Consider the following 20,580-nt stretch of genomic DNA (forward strand, 5'->3'; position numbering starts at 1 on the left):
TGATGCCACTGAATGCAGAGGTGAGGAGTGTGCACATTTGGCTCGTGCAAGAGGTTCAAGCTGGCTCCAGCATACCGCTGTCTAAGCCTTGATATGTTTGTATAATTAGAGGGAAGGTACATATGTCAGCACATATGTGAATCTGGTGGTGAAGATTTCTTCTGGTTTCTCTGCCCAGAAATGCCATCATAGATCAGACGATGTATGAATTTGCCACATGTGCAAGTGCCTCTTCTGGTGCTGCCCATCTTTACTCTTGGAACCAGCTTAATTTTGGTACTCATCCAGATACCATCCTTAGCCTACTACTCTTCCTATTTTAATTGATGTAATTTCTACATATTTCCATCTTAGACCCTTCTCCCAACTTTTAGATTCTAACTGCCTGTTGGACTTACCATTGGCATGTAATTCAGTACCTAACCCACCAAAATCTGACTTCCTCCCCTCAATTTTCTTTCTTATAGGTGACACCATTACCTTTCCAGCCATCCACACTAGAAATCAGGTGAAGTTTCCAGATTCTTTATTTTCCTTCATTTTATTCTCTACATCCAATTGATCAGAAGTCTTGATGATCTTCTTTTTGATTATTTGATGGGAGGGTAAATGTGTCCCTCCCATCTGCCACCTTCTCCATTCCTATTATTGTACTAGTTAAAGCCCTTGCAGTTGCTTATCTGGAATATCCACAACTTTCGTACTGGTTTTTCCAACTTTAAAACTGTCCTCATCAAATCTGTCCTCCACGTTGATTTCCTTGACTATGCTTAAAACCTCATCATTGGTCTCCCATTTCAACAGGACACAGAGTCTCAGCTCCTTAGCATGCAACCTAAGTCCTCCATAATCAGGTAGTCTCCTGCTGGCTCTCCAGCCAAAGCATTCCTTCCCTCTGTCATATTGTTTATGCAGCCACACATTTTCCCCCTGTAGTGGTGGAAAGGTATGATGCCTTTCCTCACCCATCATAAGGGTCATCGGTAACTCTCCTATAACAAAAGACAGGTTAACAAGAGAAAAGCATAACAGATTTCTTTAATCAAAGTTTTATGTGACATGGGAGCCTTCAGAAATAATGGCCCAAAGAGCCAGAGGAAACTTTCCATTTTTATGCTTAGAGTCAATGAAGAATGGACAGCCATGTGGAAATGTGATTGGATGAAACGGGTATGATCTAATGGTAATAGACTAAGGGGGAACCCAGCAAGGCCTGTCTGTTCAGATTCTTCCTGGCCACTCTTTGTAGTATTCTTCTTTCCCCCTGGGTGTGGGCCAGGACCCCTATGGAATGAGGGTCTTATGATCTACTATCAGACAAGGTAGGTCAGAGAATTTATGGTCAGCTTCTAAACAAAAAGGTGAGGGAGGTTAGAGCAATATTTCCAGGCTTTAAGCCTTGCTTTAGGATAAGAGGGGGTTCTAGTTTCTATGACTCACCTTGGGAAGGAGGAATCCTGGTTTCTATGATTCACTTCAAGGGAGAAAGAAGTGTAGGAGACAGGAGGGCAGGAAAAGGTCAGAGAATTTGCTTCTGAGGCTGCTTCTGAGGCCTTCCAATTCCTTTAGTTCAAAGTCCTCAGCATGTCAAAGTTCCATACTTTGGGATAGCGTTTTCATGACTTTTTTAATGCTTGTTTCTCTGCCTGCTGTGCCCTCCCCAACATAGTTAACTCTCATTCATTATGTGAAACCCAGTGCAGGCCAGGTATGGTGGCTCATGCCTGTAATGCTAGCACTTTGAGAGGCCAAGGTGGGAGAATCGCTTGAGTCCAGGAGTTTGAGACCAGCTTGGGCAATATAGCGAGGCCTTGTCTCTAAAAAATAAATAAATAAATAAATAAATAATAAATAAATAAATAAATAAATTAGCTGGGGTGGTGCGTGCCTGTAGTCCCAGCTACTTGGGAGGCTGAGGTGGGAGGAATGCTTGAGCATGGGAGGTTGAGGCTGCATTGAACCCTGATTGCACCACTGTACTGCGGCCTGGGCAATAGAGATGGACTGCATCTCTAACAAACAAACAAAACAAAACAACCCAGTGCAGACAGAACCTACTTAAGAAGCCTTTTCTGACACCTCCTTTACACTGGGCCCCTCTTGGTGCTTCCCTCCATGTCTTGCCTCTCTCTCCACCATTTTACTCACATTTTATTGTAATGGTTTCTTTGTGTCTGTTTCCTTCACCAGACTGAACAACTTGGTTGCCAGAACTGCATGCTATTTACCTTTATATGTCTAGTACCTTGCACAGTGCCTGGCACATAGTACCATTTAGTTAATATGTAGCTGAATAAGTAGATGAATAAATGGAAAAGACAGCCATTGTGTATGTGCTAGTAGCATAAAAATACAGGATACACAATTACATTTCAAATTCAGATAAATAACAAATAGGTTTTTTTAGTATGCATAGATCCCAAACATGGAATGGGACATACTTATACCACATAGTATGTAATTATTCATTATTTCTCTGAAATTAAAATTTCACTGGGCATCCTGTAATTTATCTGTCAACCCTAACCTAGCAAAAAAGTGACTTCCCACCCAATATTAGGTTAGCACAAAGGTGATTGTGACAAGTTTTGGTTTAAGTTTTGTTAAGTTTGCCACTATTTTTAATGGCAAAAGCCATAATCACCTTTGCACCAACCTAATAAAAGTTCACACAAGGCAGAACCTCATGTTGAGCTTGACATCATGGGCCCTAAAGTATTTTCTAGACTTTACCTTAACATCTCTGAGTGTCCTGTGTGTAAATAGTCACTGTAGTACTCAGGTGTATTGGCCTTGTCATGTTCTGCTGGGTGTCATTACATACATGATTTCTGCTGAGAGAATGATGCAAATTTTGTTGCATGGCAAAGAAATTTATGCAGTTGAGTAATATGGAGAGATGAGCAGAGCTTATTTGTGAGTCAGCTTGTGGGTTTTCCTATACAGGTGGAGTATCCTTAATCTTAAAACCGAAATTCAAAGTGCTCCAACATCCATGCTTATTGCAGTGTTTTGCAGTTTGGATTTTCAGAATGGGGATACTTGAATGGTAAGTATAGTGGGAATATTTCAAAATCTGAAAAATTCTGAAATCCAAACCACTTTCAGTCCCAAGAATTTGAGATAAAAGATCCTCAGCCTGTATTGTGGTGGTTTGTTGTTGCTGGATAGTGGTTGTAGGGCATATGAAAAGGAAGCATAAAACTTACTTTTGGTGTTTGGGGATGAATGTAGGGATTGGGTGTGGGTTTTAGATTTTTGGAGGGAGTTAACAGCTGGAATAGTACTCACTATTTACTTTGCTGCTCAGGCCAAGATGCCTGAGAACTGATATACTGAAGAGTGATCATGGTGTGGAGGACTCCATACTGTCTCCATCCTAATGAGGTTGTTTGCTTAACACGTTCCCTGTTAAACTATCAGATGACTGAATTATTATTTTGATTGAAGGGACTTTTTTTTTTTTTCAAATTAGAAACACCCAACTGGTTAACAGTTTATGTTTTAGAAGGTGAAAGAGTTTATTTTTCCATGACTGGAAACGGAATTGAAATATGGCATCTTTCATCTCTCACATGCCCTTTTTCCTCTCCGTCTCATGCCAAAATCGATAATTATGGAAATTACCTGGTAGGACACTTGGGCACAGTTTTAGATATTTACCCCATAGGACTCAGACATGTTCTCTTAGAAAAAGCTGGATTCTAAAGGCACAAAGATCAACCAAAAAAACAAACATGAAACATTTTTGTGGTCACAGTACCGTGATCTTGTCAGTAAAGCGACGGTCTATGATTAAATCCAGATTGAGCTGTTTCCTGTTAGCGTGCTAACCCACAGGACAGGCTCAGGCCTCCGTGTCTTGCTTTCTAAGTCTGGGTTATTAAGCACTTGTCTGACAAGGGTTCCACCCCTTTCGTCTTCAACTTAATAATTCAAAGTTACTAAGATAATATAAGCAAAAACAGGTCCTAAAGTCTCTTAAAACACTTACAGACCTATAGGAATCTTTTCTTGCAAAAATGAAACTTTTAACATTTTAGCTTCTCTTGTCGGGCCATATGGCAGAGTATTTTTTGTGTTTCCCCTCTGTACAGTTTCATTTCAAAATAATTTCAGTGGTAAGCAGATCATTTTAAGTTTTTGTTTCATAAGAAATGTACTCTATTTGAATGTTGGCAAATTAGAAGTCATCAGATCTTTCCCCTGCCATAATAAGCAGGTATTAGGATATTTAGCAGTTCTACAGAAAATGACATTAAGCAAATTCTCTGATAACTTAACATGCATTGTTATTTTGTGTGAGAATGATTGTAGGCACAAGAGCAATTCTATACTTATTTTATGATATTGTCATTGATGTTCACTTTGAAAATTATTTTTTAAATCTAAATTTTCAAAATATTTTATTAGTCTTCTGTTAGGTCATATGTGGTTCTTCCTAATGCACAGATGCAAACCCTGAGGAACAAATACTGTTAAAGGGACTTACAGGAATCATGTATGCATATTGAAATTTTTTCCGAGTAAGAAAGTACTGAAAGAGAGGGGCTGGGTTAATGAGAAACATAATTCCATTCCCAAGGGAGAACCCTGGCTTTCTGCCAAATCTCTGCTTTCTGGCAGGAAATGGGACCCACTTCATCAGGTCCTTTGACAAGCATTTTTCTCTGTGTTTGAATTTTGGGACACGTCAATACTCGGTGAAAAAATAGTTCTTTTAAATAATCATCACTTTTGATAAGAAGGATTTAGAATTAAAGTAGAGTTTCCATTGTAAGTAAAATAAGAATCGTCAAATTTCAACATTGTTTGGTAAGGGAACACTGTTATTATCACAAGGCGAGGAAGCTTGATTTAAATCAGAGTTTGACTATCCCTAACCACTGAGAAGCCATTCCTTTTATTGTTGTTAATATTTAACATTGAAGTATATTTTCATGTTTTTTTTTGTTTGTTTGCTTTTGAGATGGAGTCTCGCTCTGTTGCCCAGGCTGGAGTGCAGTGGCACAATCTCCAGCCCACTGCAACCTCCGCTTCCTGGGTTCAAGTGATTCTCCTGCCTCAGCTTCCTGAGTAGCTGAGACTACAGGCACGCACATTACACGTGGCTGATTTTGTATTTTTAGTAGAGATGGGGTTTTACTATGTTGGCCAGGCTGTTCTTGAACTCCTGACCTCAGGTGATCCACCCCCCTTGGCCTCCCGAAGTGCTGGGATTACAGGCGTGAGCCACCGCTCCCATCCTGAAGTATATTTTCTAACTGCTACTTTTGAATATCATGCAGGCTGACAATTATTTTGGCCAGGTCTTTTGAAGTGACAAGGTACAAAACACAAAACATCCTGACATTTTTGTATTAATAAAGAGATCAAAGGAATACACATTTGAAAATAAAAATTAACATTATATTTTATAATGTTTTGATTTTTCTTTTTTAAATGAAAAGTGGTAAATATGAGTTAAGTTTTAAATGCATTACAGTAATTTAATAAGCCAAAATTTTTCAAAGTATGTGCATTCTGAAGTTCTGCAAGATGCTCTCAGACTAAAGAGAAATCCATCTGGAAATGCTGCATACCATACCCCTCTCTTGGAGTTGAATAACACCGTTGGCATATGAGAAATTCTGCAGTAAAGAGATATCATTGACTTTGTTGAACTCTATAGTTCCCAAACTTGACCATAGGAGTTTTTTTTGGAACTAGTGTTTTACGGCACACACTTCAAGCAACAGTGAACCAAATAATTAATAACATGTAGAATTCTAAACCATATATCTTTTTCACTTATTGTTTCTGATAAAGTTAATTGGAACTTCTGGGGAACAGATGGGTACTACAAGGTTTGTTCTAAAACTACATATAGAGTGATAAAGAACAGCTATTAGACCCTGATCTGAGTCAACAGTCTTAAGAGGCCTAAAGAAATGTTTGCTATTTTGCCTGAACCAGATCCCTCTCCCTAGAAAACTTTCAGAAATTAAATAAAGAGATAAAGCCATCTACCACATAAGCTGGAGTCTTAATTTTAATTCCTGTTAGCGGTTTGACATGATGACATTAAGCTATTCTAACCCCCTTCTGAAAGCAGTTGCCACCACTCTGGTCTTTCTGAAAGCAATCCATCTGTTAGTTTCCTTCCAGTAGTTTGATTTCTGACAGGCCAGGTGAAGGAAAAGCAAACATGCTACTTAGTAAGCACAATATCATCATTAGAGATCCACTTCTTTCTTCTTTGTGTCTCTTCTTTAATTTTCACATGTGACTATTTCAATTTAGGAAATCTGACATAAAACAATTACAATTCAACTTGCGATTCAGATAAACCGCCTGGCGATTGTTCGCATCACTTAGGATTATTTTTGCTTTAGAAATAGACCTCCTCTCTTTAGAGCAGTTTCCTTAGTGCCTATGAAGGATGAGTTAAACTTTCAAAATTGCATCTCTGTATAATTTGTTAGGCACAGATTTACTGCAGAATGTAAGGCACACCAATATTTTTCTTCATTTTAATTCTCTTCCCTTATACTCAAATTTTAAGCTGTGAAGATTTTATTACCAATGAATTTTTATGTATTATGGTTTATATCTACCAAGGTACAATTATATCTACCAATATTCATTTACAGTTTCATTTTCATGTGCTAGCTGCTTCTCGTGAGTAAATGTCTTCTTTTAGACTTTGCAAGTTTCCAGAAGGCAGGGTCATACACCCACCCACCCTTTTCATCACTCCCCAGAGCTTAACCCAGTGGTGCTTGGTACAACCATTTTCTCAGTCAGCTCTGTTGATTGCTGATGATATTGAATCAAAATGCACATTGCCGTCTGTGGACTGAAGAAAGTCAGATCATGATTCCATCTCCATAGATTTCCACGGAGAATATACTCCAACCATGGCCAGTTTTTCAAGCTATCAACATGATTTCAACTGGCTCACACAAATTCTTAAAATTTAACAATCCTCTCTCCAAAACCAGTATGACTCAGCTCCAGCACTCCACCATAGGAGCTGTCTTTAGGAATGAGTGTGCAAAAATTTTTTTCCCATTCTCTAGGTTGCCTGTTCACTCATAGTTCAACCATTGTGGAAGACAGTGTGGCGATTCCTCAAGGATCTAGAACCAGAAACACCCTTTGTCCCAACAATCCCATTACTGGGTATATACCCAAAGGATTATAAATCATTCTACTATAAAGACACATGCACACGTGTGTTTATTGCAGCACTGTTCACAATAGCAAAGACTTGGAACCAACCCAAATGCCCATCAGTGATAGACTGGATAAAGAAAATGAGGCACATATACACCATGGAATACTGTGCAGCCATAAAAAAGGATGAGTTCATGTCCTTTGGAGGGACATGGATGAAGCTGGAAACCATCATTCTCAGCAAACTAACAGAAGAACAGAAAACCAAACACCGCATGTTCTCACTCATAAGTGGGAGTTGAACAATGAGGACATATGGACACAGAGAGGGGAACGTCACACATGGGGGCCTGTCGGGGGTGGGGTGACAGACTAGGGGAGGGATAGCCTTAGGAGAAATACCTAATATAGATGATGGGTTGATGGGTGCAACAAACCACCATGGCATGTGTATACCTATGTAACAAACCTGCATATGTATCCCAGCACTTAAAGTATAATTTTTAAAAAAAAAAAGAATAAAAAACTCCAACAACAACAACAACAAAAAAGAATGAGTTTGTCCAGGTGCAGTGGCTCACGCCTGTAATCACAACACTTTTGGAGGCTGAGGCGGGCGTATCACCTGAGGTCAGGAGTTCAAGACCAGCCTGGCCAACATGGTGAAAACCTGTCTCTCCTAAAAATGCAAAAATTAGTCGGGTGTGGTGATGGGTGCCTGTAATCCCAGCTACTCGGGAGGCTGAGGCAGGAGAATTACTTGACCCCAGGAGGTGGAGGTTGCAGTGAGCCAAGATCACATCACTGCACTCCAGCCTGGGCGACAAAGCGAGACTCCATCTCAAAAAAAAGAATGAGTTTGAAAACTTTCCATGGAACAAAACAAAGGGAATGCTTGCTAAACCTGATCCTGGTATCATTAAAAATGCGCTTGGTAAAATTATATCAGCAAACTAGTTCTTGATAGGGGAGTAAGTAGAAGCAAATGTAACCATTATGAAGTAATACCTCTACTTCTAGAAAGGTAGGAAACACGCATACCTCCACCACCACCACCCTACCACACTAAACTCATAGGAGAGAGCATTGCCTTATATGACATGTAGAGAAATTAAATAAGAGTGAGGGTAAGCTGCATGCAGTGGCTCACACCTATAATCCCAGCATTTTGGGAGGCCAAGGCGAGAGGGTTGCTTGAACCCAGGAGTTTGAGACCAGTCTGGATAACATAGCGAGACACTATCTCTACCAAAAACAAAAATACAAAAATGAGCAGAGCATGGTTGCCTGAGCCTGTAGTCCCAGCTACTTGGGAGGCTGAGTCAGGAGGATCACTCGAGCCCAGGAGCTCCAAGCTGCAGTGATCTGTGATCACACCACTGCTCTCCAGCCTGGGTAACAAAAGGGATAAATAAATAAATAAGAATGAGAGGAAACATAACAGGCTATGGCCTTCAACTATTTCAATGCTTCCAATTTTACTTTAGGGAGTCATTTCTCCTTATGGTAATTGTTAATTTATTATACAGGTTGAAGGGGACCAGCTGCCTCCAGGACACACAGTCAGTCAATATGAAACCTGTAAGATCAGGACCATAAAAGCTGGCACCTTGGAGAAGCTTGTGGAGAACCTGCTGACAGCTTTTGGGGACAATGACTTTACCTATATCAGCATCTTTCTTTCAACGTACAGAGGCTTTGCCTCCACTAAAGAAGTGCTGGAACTACTGCTGGACAGGTAAGAATGTAAAGGAGCTTTTGAGTTGAAAGAAATGTAGGCTGATTATGGAGTGGAGCACGAGGTTCTGAATCACCTGCACTTGGTATTCGGAGAGAGATATGTGAGGAAAGATTAACGGGAAGGGATGACCTTTGGCACAAATGAAAAGAAGATCATTCAGGAGCCACTTATGGTCTGTTGCTGGGGAAAAATATCTCCTAAAAGATTTATAAAAGAGTTGAGAGTGGATACCTTAAATCTAGATTCAGTTGCTTTATGGATTTACTATTTGCCACCCTAAATTTCTCCATATTTTTATAATTTTATATTATTCAGTAAATAATCAGTTGACCAAGAATTTTACTGGGATGTTGTGGGGATGAAATGTGCTAATATGTGTGAAGTGTGGAGCTCATTCTTAGATCCACAGGAAGCAGCTTAGGAATGGTGGCAATGATGATGCGATGATGATGATAACTATTAACAGTCAGCATGTATTGACTGTTTTAAGGATCTGCACATAAATATCCTTGATCCGTATTTTTAAGCTACTTATTACATAGAGCAGTATACATTGATATTTACACACTGTTAAACTTTAGATTTTCCTCTTTATTTCTGTTTTATTTAGAATTAAACTTGGTCTTTTAGAAAATATCATTAAATCAACTTGATACTGGGAGGAAGAAAGCTGTCAGCCAAACAATTGTTTTAGAATCAGGAGAATCCTCATCTAAATCCTTATATTCTGGGGTTTCCTGCATAAGGAAGGAAATGAGATACGGCTTTCTGTTGGGCTTGTTGAGTATTGATGTTTGTTAACTAAATTTTTTTATTTTGAAAGTAATCTGTGCTCATGCTAAAAATTCTTACACTGTGGAAGAATATGCAAAATATTAAAGTTTGTTCATATTGCTGCCTTTTCCCCAAATAACATTTATTAGATTTAAAAATATTAGTAGTAAGAAGAAAATTAAATAGACCATCAACTAGGCAAATAACACATATTAACATTTTAAAAATAGAGGTAATCCATGTATATGGTGAAAAGTTCCATCAGCCCAGATAATTATAAAAATAAAAAGTAAAATATTTTTTTCTCCAAGCTCCAATCCCATTCCTCCCAGGAAATCACTGTGAACCATCCTTTTGTATTTTTCCCACACTTTTGGGTGTATAGAAAGTATGTATGTATATATACACACATTTATGTACTGTATGTCATATATATGATATGTTTATATATTTATCATATGACACATATACTTACCTATGATACAGATAGCATCACAGTACATAGTCTGTTCTGCAATTTTCATTTAAAAAATTTTTTTTTTCTATTTTTAGAGATAGGATCTTGTCCTGTTGTCCAGACTGGACTGGAGTGCAGTCACACAATCATAGCTCACTGCATCCTCAAACTCCGGGGCTCAAGAGATCAGCCTCAGCCTCCTGAGTTGCTAGGATGACAGGTGCATGCCACCACGCCTGGCCAGTTTTCAGTTTTTACTTATCTGCATATCTTGGAAATTTTTTACTCATTAAGTGAATTAGTATATATAAAAGGCTTAGAACAGTGGCTGGCATATTGAAAGCTCAAAAAATGTAATTCTTATTTCAAAACCAGCACGTGTAGATGAATCTATCATAATCTTTTCAATAGCTTTATAATATTTATTGAATGGGTTATTATATGGATAGACATTTAAGTTTTCTCCAGTTTTTAGTTTTTTTTTTTTTTTTTTTTTTTGTTGAGATGGCATCTCGCTCTGTCTCCAGGCTGGAGTGCAGTGGCGTGATCTCGGCTCACTGCAACCTCCGCCTCTTGGGTTCAAGCAATTCTCCTGCCTCAGCCTCCTGGGTAGCTGGGATTACAGGTGCATGCCACCACACCCAGCTAATTTTTGTATTTTTTGTAAAGACAGGGCTTTACCATGTTGGCCAGGATGATCTCGATCTCTTGACCTCATGATCTGCCGCCTCAGCCTCCCAAAGTGCTGGGATTAGACTTGAGAGCCGCTGCGCCCAGCAAATTTGTTTTTTAAACTTTGTAAACAGTACTGCAAGGAGCATTTTTGAATATATATCTTCGGAATAGTTGGTTGAGAATTCTATAGGATAATGTCATAGAAGAGTCACTAATGGGTCAAAGTATATCAGCATTTAAAGATTTGAAAGATAACTGCCAGATTGCACCAGTGACATTCCTGTCCACAGAAAACGGGAATGCCTATTTCCTCATTTTCCCCACACTCTTGCCAACTGTGGATATTTTCTCTCTACTTTTGAAACTGTCTTTGCCATGACCTGACCACTGACAAATGATAGCTTCTTGTTTTTGAATTTGTGCTTCTTACATTTATGAGTGAGGTTTAGCATCTTTTAAAATTCTTATTGGCTGTTTGTGTTTTCTTTTCTGTGAACTGCCTTTTCATATCCTTTTGCCTATTTTTCTTTTGGACTCTTTTCATCTAATTATTGATTATCTAATTATAACTCTGCATATTAAGGGAATTAGTTTGTTGCTTATCATATGTTAGAAATATTTTCCTAATTTTTCCATTCGTTTTAAAAGTTATTTATTAAAATTTTTTATAACGACATTAACATTTTTTGTGTAGTCATATCTATTAGTCTTAAGAAATACCTTTAATAATCAAGTTATATTCCAATATAAGTAAGGTTATTGACAATAGTGGGTTTTCTCTCAAAGTAGTTTACTCGTAAGATGCATATAGAGTAAGATTATTTGGATCAATGGTTATTAATATGTTAATCTTCAAGAATACTCACAAAATGTCTGTTCTTTGTCATACATTGATCTGGATTATGATACTTTGAGCTGCAGCACAGATAGGAAGTTCTGTAGCTTTTTTCATAGCAGTGCTTGACAAAATAGGCCTGGAATATAAACTTGGATTGGTGAGGCATTTCTTTATATAGGCAGGATCTTATGTAATAGATCATACCTGTAAGTAGAAATTGAAAAATTATATGAATTTTATCTTTTTGGTATTTCATGTTTATAAAAAAATGCAGTATGCTGTTGGCAGGCAGTATGAATTGACTGTTCAAAACGTTAAAAAACTCCTACAAGTTTACTTTGGAATTGGTAACCTCTTCTATTTATGGGGTGACTATTGATAATAGGCCACAGATATCCACAGTCAATAAAGGAGTGCACGTAAATTCCAGCTGTTCATCCTAAATAGAGGACATATACACACAGGAACTGGAGTGTTTAGTCTATGACTCATGTACATCCAGATTTTGATATTTTTTAAATCTTTTCTTTGTTCTATTATAGAGGATAGATGTTTTTGCTTTTTAAAACACTAACTGGATGACTGACTAACACTGAAAATGAATCAAACTGCATTTAATTCAAGCTGTCATGTACGATATAACTGGAGAGTTAGGATTTATTTTTTTACCATTTGGATGGGCCAAGGCTTGGCCTTGAATTTAATCTCATAAACAGATCCTTTGCTTGCTTCTGAAATGAATGGAATTGACAAGTACTCAATGCCTACACAATACCCAGCTTCTGCAAGACACCATGCAGATGGAACTCAGGAATATGAGACTTGTTTCATGCCTTGAGATAGTTTAGAGGTAGATTTACTATGAAGCCACTGGTACTTAACCTCCAGGGGCGCTCACTTGGAATGCCCTCTGCATAATTTTATATTCATGATTTTGTATTCTTTTTCTTTGAGAGGATCCCTCAGATTACATATGGCTTCAAATTACATATCCATAAGACCTGGATCCACCCCTCAGTACTTAATATTTTACTGCAAAAGATAACATATTAAGGCTTGCATTTCTGAAACAAGTAGATAACTGCTTGAGATGGTATTAGATGAAGTTCTAACATGTTCTGCAGATGAAACAGGATATAGAAGTTCAGAGGAATAAATATCATTTATTTAGATTATTCTGCAGAAATTGGGATTTGTTCAAATAAGTACAAACCTCAACATGAGTATTTCTTCCTTGCTTCATTTCCTACTCACACTTAGATCTTGAGCCAGGCTTCAGTCTTGATTAAATTTAACCAAAATGCACATTCTGTGAAACAGTGGGTTCTTAAATTGGTTGTTGAGACTTTTAATGTCTATAATTAAGAGGAAGCAATTATGTTGTATAAACTTGCCTATTCTGAAGATGAGCATTTGAAATATTATTTTGTCAGTAGATTGTGGTAGACTTGTTTATGGGTCTCTGACATAATTTTAAAAATAATTTCTTTTGGTTTCTTAATAGTAGTTTGCTTATCTGTTGTGAAATTAACACTGAGACGCTATTACAGCATGTGCTAATCATACAATAATCAGTCAAGAATAGATTGAAGACAGATACTGCAGTATTTATTTCCCACCGGAGAAGCTTATTTGATGTCAAGCTTTGATTTCCCTTAAGACTTCTAATAATGTGGGTTTTCTCATATGGAACTATTTGCTTTCTGGGATTTATTTTTTATCTTTTGACAGTTTTTTATTCTGCTATAATATGAGCCTTTTGTGATTGGCCAATAGACAGTGGTTTGAATTCACGTATAGCTAATTCCATGTGTTTGCTTTACCCCTTACTTGGGGTGATCATTTCCCAAGGACCCCTGTTTCCTGTGCTTCTCAACATGGCTCAGAGTCCACATTGGCCTACTTTTAACCCAAGAGAAAGTTCTTGAATTCTGGGCCAGCAGTTTGTGTTGGGGCTTTGAGATTTTCTTTTATCTAACTTCAAACATACACTCACTCAGTTAAAAATCTGGCCAGGCGTGGTGGCTCACATCTTTAATCCCAGCACTTTGGGAGGCTGAGGCAGGTGGATCACCTGAGGTCAGGAGTTTGAGACCAACCTGGCCAACATGGTGAAACCCTGTCCCTACTAAAAATATAAAAATTAGCTGGTATGGTGGCAGGCGTCTGTAGTCCTAGCTACTCGGGAGGCTGAGGCGGGAGAATCGCTTGAACCTGGGAGGCAGAAGTTGCAGTGAGCTGAAATTGCACCAGCCTGGGCGACACAGTAAGACTTGGTCTCAAAAAAAATCATCTGTTCTCTCCACCATACCATTTTAAACATAAGGGTGTTAGATACTACTGAATATGCCCAACCTCAAATGTAGGGAGAAACCTACTTTAATTAGTGACCTTCAGTGAGAGCCATGAAATGTTGGCACAAGTATCTAGAGTTTTCTTCAGATAGCTGTCACAATAGCTCCCTTTTGGGCCATTTCTTGAACATTCTCTCTTTCTGTGTTATGCACTCTAATATCAGAATTAAGCAGAATGAGCTGAGTGCAGTGGCTCATGCTTGTAATCCCAGCACTTTGGGAGGCCGAGGTGGGCGGTTCACTTGAGGCCAGGAGTTTGAGACCAGCCTGGCCAACAAGGCAAAACCCCATCTCTACTAAAAATACAAAAGTTAGCTGGGCGTGGTGGTGCATGCCTGTAGCCCTAGGGAGGGTGAGGCAGGAGGATAACTTGAGCCTGGGAAGCGGAGGTTGCAGTGAGCTGAGATTGTGCCACTGCAATCCAGCCTGGGTAACAAAGCGAGACCCTGTCTAAAAGAAAAAAAAAGTAAGCAGAATGCCAACAAGAACCAGAGTAGGGGTTAACTAGGTCTCCAGAAACCTTTGCCAAGCTGATGGCACTCAGGTCACACTATGGAAAGCACTGAGTAATAGTCTGAATTACTCCCTTAATTTCAAATGAATTCTCCCAGTGGAGGACATTCGGGGTTTTTAAAGGTTGGAGCCATTTGTAAACACTATGCTTTAAGATTATCTGACTTAAATTTGCTTGCTTATGGTGCAGAGAAGAGACTAATTCAGTAGGTCTTTGAACTTATTTCTTCTTCCCATGTTTGCTTGCCATGTGTTTTCACAGGCTTCATCTCATTTAGTTCACTTATTTTTACCCCTATGTTTACAGATTAGAAAATTGTGGCTCAGAAACATTCAATCAGTAAGTAGCAGAGCTAGAATTAAAACCTACTCCTTTCTGACTTGGAAGCTCTTTCCAAGTGTACAATATCACCTTCCTTGATTTGTTAATATCACCTTTAAAGGAACCCTTTTTTGGGAATCCTTTTTAGCCATCCTTTTCACTACTACCTCAAGTGATTTTCCCTGGAAACTGTATTTCCCAAGGGCTCCTCCCTTCACACAGTTGTGAGCAGTTCACTTGAGCATCAGTGCTGTTATTTGTCTACTCAAGCAATATTTATCAGCTCTTTAATGTGTACTATGTACTGTACAAGATGCTGTGTGTATAATGGTGGACAAACCTGCCTTCTTCATGCTGAATGTCTAGTGGGAAAGAGTAACATTAAACAAATCAGTGTGCAAATACATTTATATAATTAAAATTGATAGACCACTGGGAGATAAAAGGTTCTATAACACAGAGTTATAAAGGATATTTTGGAGAGCTGTACCCAAATAAAACTGAATGTTGGCCAGGATCTTAGGTGATCACTTAGATCATGGCCCATAAAGGTAATTGCTTTGTCTGTGTGTTTGGAGTGTTTCTGTGTACTGAATGGGCCTGGCCAAATCCCTGACCTCGATCAGCTTTTCCTGAAGGGTCAGGGATAGCAAATGAGAGAGCACGGGTGGATTTAAGTAAGTATAGTACCACCGTGGGAACAGAAACCTTAAATCCATTCTTTATGTCGCCTGGAGTAACATTTTCATATGCAAAACCTGACATACCAATAACCAGCAAAACGGAGCTGCCTTTGTTAGTGCAACCAGTTCCTCCACAGTGTAGAGAGGAGTTGATCAGATATAAAGCTTGAAAATTTTCATTTATTTCCAAGGATTTTGTCATAGATGTCAAACAGACTTTTCAGAATTTTAGGATACATTATGGGAAAAGCAATTTTTCCTGTCTTTTTTTTTACCCATGAGATTCAGATTTAAGGCATATAGTATAATGGTTAAGAACATGGGCTTAGGAGTCAGAAATTTGAATTTTATTCCAGTTTTGCACTCCTTACTTGCTCTGCAGTATTGGGCAGTGAATTTATCTTACTAGCTTCAGTTTTCCTCATCTATAAAATAACAAAAATAGCACCTAATTTATAGAGTTATTATAAAGTTTGAACATGATAATATAGGTAAAATTTGTAGTATAGTGGCTGAAAAATATTAAGTGCTTAAGAGATTACTATTACCTTGTTTTCTTTCTTCAAGGCATTTATTATTATTTGAAATTACCTTATTTATCTTGCTTATTTCATGACTGTCTTTCCCACTCAGAGACCATGTTAGTCTTGTTCATTGCTCTACCCTCAAAATGGTGCCTGCAGTAGGTGCTTAGGAACTATTTGTCTAACAAATAAATAATGGTTATCATTATTCATGCCTTTTCCAAGCAGGTGTTTTGGAAGGTCCAGCAGTGAACATTGCCCAGCCTCTGCCCATGTTTAGTGGGAGAGACAAATAAGTCTATAGACTCGTGTCATCACTGTCAAGGCCATGAGGCTGAATGTGCGTTTTTAATGAAAACCTTTTCCCCCCGGGAGCTGGTAGTTGTAAACCTTCTATAAAAAGCCCATTGCACACATCCATTCAGTTCTCAAATGCTTTCGTTGCATGAGAAGCTGGTAAGTGTTTTTGAGATGCGTACAATATGTTCCAATTTGCTTTTTGTTAAACCTCACTTAAAAATAATTGAATTTTTTATTTAGTGCTGGAATTACACTAGGCACTTGCCAAATATTCCTAGATTCATGCTGGCATGCAGTGTTCATGTTCCTGTACTTCCTTTTCTTTCAGTAAGAGGCAAGGTTTCTAATATCTTTCCTCTCCTCTTCCAGGTCCAAGGAAAGGAAGTTGTCAACAGAGAGAGCACTGGGAAACATACTGGAAACTGAACCCGCACGACGGGTCTCAGAGCATCTTCATGTGACTTATGGTCCCAGTGTCGCCTCTAGGGTCACCAGCATCTAGAGGTGACACTGAGACCATAACTCACCTGTAGGTGCTGGTCTCTTATAGCATTAACACTCACATTAAATCTTGTTACTATGAAACTCATAATTTGATTTTTTTCTAAACTTTTTGTTCTGAGTTATTTATTAATGTTTAACTTCCATCACTTACATAGGAAATTTTTCAAAATAATTCCATACCATTCTCTTCATTAATTTTAGTAACCTCCTACAGGGCCAAATCGAAATTAGCAGAGAGGGTCACTCATTAAGTCTTTTGTGCCTCCCCCAACCCACCCATGCATGAAACAGTTGAGATTTAGTGGTTGGTGGCTCCAGGATGCACATCCCATTTATTTAGTAGAAAAACTTTCAGGAAATCTTAACATTGCTTTGCTTCCTTTCTAGCTTAACATACAATCATATTGAATATCCTGACTAGGGTGAGAATTTCTTAGTAAATGAAGGCTGCTATTTAAGATTTTTGTTAGAACAGATGAGTTTAAATAGATTTTCTCTAGGTCTGGGTGTTGATGACTTCCTAGGCAAAAAAACCCAAAAAAACTTGGATGGGTTACACACACATACACATACACACACATATATATAACAGAACATATATATATATGTTCTGTTATGTATATGACCCTCTCTACTAGTTTCCATTTGGCTCTGTGGGGGGTTACTAAAATTAATGAAGAGAATATGGAATTATTTTGAAAAATTTCCTATATAAGTGATAGAAGTTAAACATTAATAAATAACTCTTAGAACAAACAAAAAGTTTAGAAAAATGTCAAATTATGAGTTTATGTTCTATTCAGGACATCATGCCCTGTTCAGTTTTGGTCCACACACTCAGCTCCAGGAAGCATGGCTGGAGCCAGAATGTGACCAGAATTGTTATTATTTTCTCCCTGTAAATATATATATATTTTTATATATATATATATGTTAAGGTGTTTTTTAAAAAAAGGTAGATTGCTGAAAGATAAATTGGACTTAGATCTTATTTCCTGCAACTATGAGAAACATGACACTATTGGTTGGTAGAAGAGAAAAGAGGATTGTAAGAAGGGTGTGAAAATCTTTGGGTATGAAAATGGTTATAATATAGAAAAGAGCATTAAAAACTTTGATAGGGGATGCCTTTCATAAAAGGTCTCAGGCTCTTGCTGGCTCACACTTTATCAGGTGGAGAGAAACAGTTTAGCTCAGAAAACAATAGAAGGTATAACATTTATAATAATTTACATATCCAAAGATGTCCACATCCTCATCCCTGAAACCTGGGAATATGTTAGGTTATATGCAAAGGGGAATTGAGGTTGCAGATGGAATTAAGGTTACTAATCAGCTGACTATAAAATAAGGAGATTATCTTGGATTATCTGAGTGAGCCCAGAGTAATCACAAGGGTCCTTAAAAATGTAAAAGATGGAGGCAGAAGACAGAGAAAGAGATACAAGGATGGAAATGGGATCAGATAGATGCTATGTTGCTGGCTTTGAAGATGGAGGAAGGGGGCCTTGAGCCAAAGAATGCAGGCAGCCTCTTGAAGCTAGAAAAGGGGATTGAACAGATTCTCTTCTAGAACCTCTAGAAAGGAACATAGCCCTGACAACACCTTGATTTTAACCCATTGAGACCCTTGTTGGACTTCTGACTTACAGAACTATAAAATAGTAAATTTGTATTGTTATAAGCCACTAAGTTTGTAATAATTTATTCCAGCAACACAGATAAGAAACAAGGAATTCTTGTCAGGGAGATTGACTCTGAAAAATCTAGTGGCCATAGGCTCAAGGATGTTGAAGGTCGGTGTCCACCCTCACCTTTGTTCTGTTCAGGACATCATGCCCTGTTCAGTTTCGGTCCACACACTCAGCTCCAGGAAGCATGGCCGGAGCCAGAATGTGATGGGCATTGTTATTATTTTCTCCCTGTAACTATGCCAGTTACTTTGGATTAACCAGAAAAATTTAATCTGGTGCTGTTTGAGAATTATATCCAACCATAATTACCTGAGGGAAAATGGAAATAAGTTCTCTTCCCTGCTGGGTTGGTGGCCTTTGGTAAATATTTACTTTTGCCAAGTGGACCCAACTGTCACCTGCCAACACTATGGGAATTCTGGATAGGAACATGTGGCGACTGTAGAGCCTTAGCTTGTGGGACGACAGTGATGGTTTTGTTAAAGTAGACACTGAGGGGATGCTGTCAAAGACTTTGCCTCAGATCATAGCCAGGCTAGCTTTCTTTTCTTGAAATGGGATTTATAAGACCTAAGAGATAAAAATGTTTCCATGAAGTAGCTTGTTTTTTTTATTTCACTTGGCAAAGGGAGGCAAGGACATGCAATTATCCTTTTTTTGAAAAGAATATAAAATTGCCCAGCAGGTTTTTTTTTTAAAGTGTGCTTAACATTTGTAAACTACAAAACAAAACTGACAAGAAACTGAAATGTAATGGGTGGTAACTGAGTTAGTAACTGGACAGTCAGACATTCAGCTTTGATCATTTAAAGCAGTGGTTTTGACCATTTTTCAGCAGTTGGTGGGAGTGATTGATCACAAACCCCTGTAAGAATGTACTAAAAACTATGGACCTTCTCTTTAGAAAAAAGAGAATGTCACAATTTTTTTCATAAAATTTAGGGACTTCCCAGACTTCTGTAAATTCATCTAGAGACCCTGGGTTATGATCCCCTAGGCAAAGTGTCCCTAGCGTGGTAACAGGGGATATGTAGGCAGCCATTATGAATGAGAGGTGGGCACTGATCCTAGCTTTATTATAACTGGAACACAGACCTTAAGTGTGGCTCTGAAAAGTAAACCAATCAAATTAACTAAAATTACGCTTCATGGTTCATTCAGGTAAATTTAATGGTTTTAGAAAGTATCTTGGGACATCTAAAAGGGGAAGATACTGGTGGTTTTGAGTTAATTTTGTTTTTCATATCGCTATTCTCTTATCTGAAAATTTTTTTTACATTTATTTTTTGTGAACTTAGCCCTTGATAATGCTGTCAGGCCCCTAGTCCTGGGAACACAATTCTTTTGCCTTTGGCCTCTACTAAAGCTAACAGTAAGCACCCATTTAGATAAATTGATATTCCGTTGAGTTTTTGTAAGCTATAGGCGAAAAAGAAAAGTATTCTTGAAAATGAAAGGATGCCATGATACTAAACTCATATTCATTGTATTTGATGTTACAAAGCATGTTTCATAAGATTTTGAAGAGCTCTGCAATAGCAGCTTTTTGTGGTTGGGGAAAACTGAGCCACAGGCTTGTACTGATTTGTTAATAATGTATTAATTCATCTTAAACCTGAGAAAAATCTAGACTCATGAACAGAGTCTGAGTGCTGCCTCCTTCCTACCCCCATCTACCAGTTTCTTCTGTTGTCCGTCATTGTAGCCTCATCCATTGCAGTGTACTAACAAGATGTGTTTGCAGTTGGTGGTTTAGCATTGTTATGAACTAGAAGTGGAAGGAGTAGCTACGGATGGGCCACCAAGCTCTGAGTGCAGGAAACAGGCCAGAGAAAAGAAACGGATGACAGAGGCTTGGAATGGAAAATAGAAGAAACCTTATAGCAGGAGTGTGAGAGCCAACATACTTAAATAATTTTAAATCTGCGTGAGATATAAGTTGTGGCAGGAGAGAACTTTTTTTCTTTCCCTTGGATGAATAGTGTCCTTTTCTTGAACTCCTCTTTAGACAGTTGTGGGTTAAGGGCTGGAAAGAAAGGTTAT

The 20,580-nt window shown here is 38.3% G+C and overlaps 1 protein-coding gene across 13 annotated transcripts in view, besides 1 other annotated feature; it reads left to right on the forward strand.

Moving 5' to 3' along the window:
* RGL1 (ral guanine nucleotide dissociation stimulator like 1) overlaps nt 1-20,580 on the forward strand; it is a 292,424-nt gene that overhangs the window by 202,770 nt on the left and 69,074 nt on the right. For all 13 annotated transcript variants that reach the window (XM_011509339.4, XM_047415682.1, NM_001297669.3 and 10 more), the window contains one exon: nt 8,688-8,896. In XM_011509339.4, coding sequence (XP_011507641.1) covers nt 8,688-8,896 — 209 coding nt within the window. The remainder of the gene's footprint in view (nt 1-8,687; nt 8,897-20,580) is intronic.
* Nucleotides 2,910-2,959: an enhancer, noted in NCBI's record as "active region_2224". NCBI's record gives its function as "activates an Ori minimal core promoter by ATAC-STARR-seq in GM12878 lymphoblastoid cells {active_cell/tissue: GM12878}" and the evidence as "EXISTENCE:reporter gene assay evidence [ECO:0000049][PMID:35858748]".

The sequence above is a fragment of the Homo sapiens genome, chromosome 1 (genome assembly GCF_000001405.40).
Source record: "Homo sapiens chromosome 1, GRCh38.p14 Primary Assembly".
NCBI lineage: Eukaryota > Metazoa > Chordata > Mammalia > Primates > Hominidae > Homo > Homo sapiens.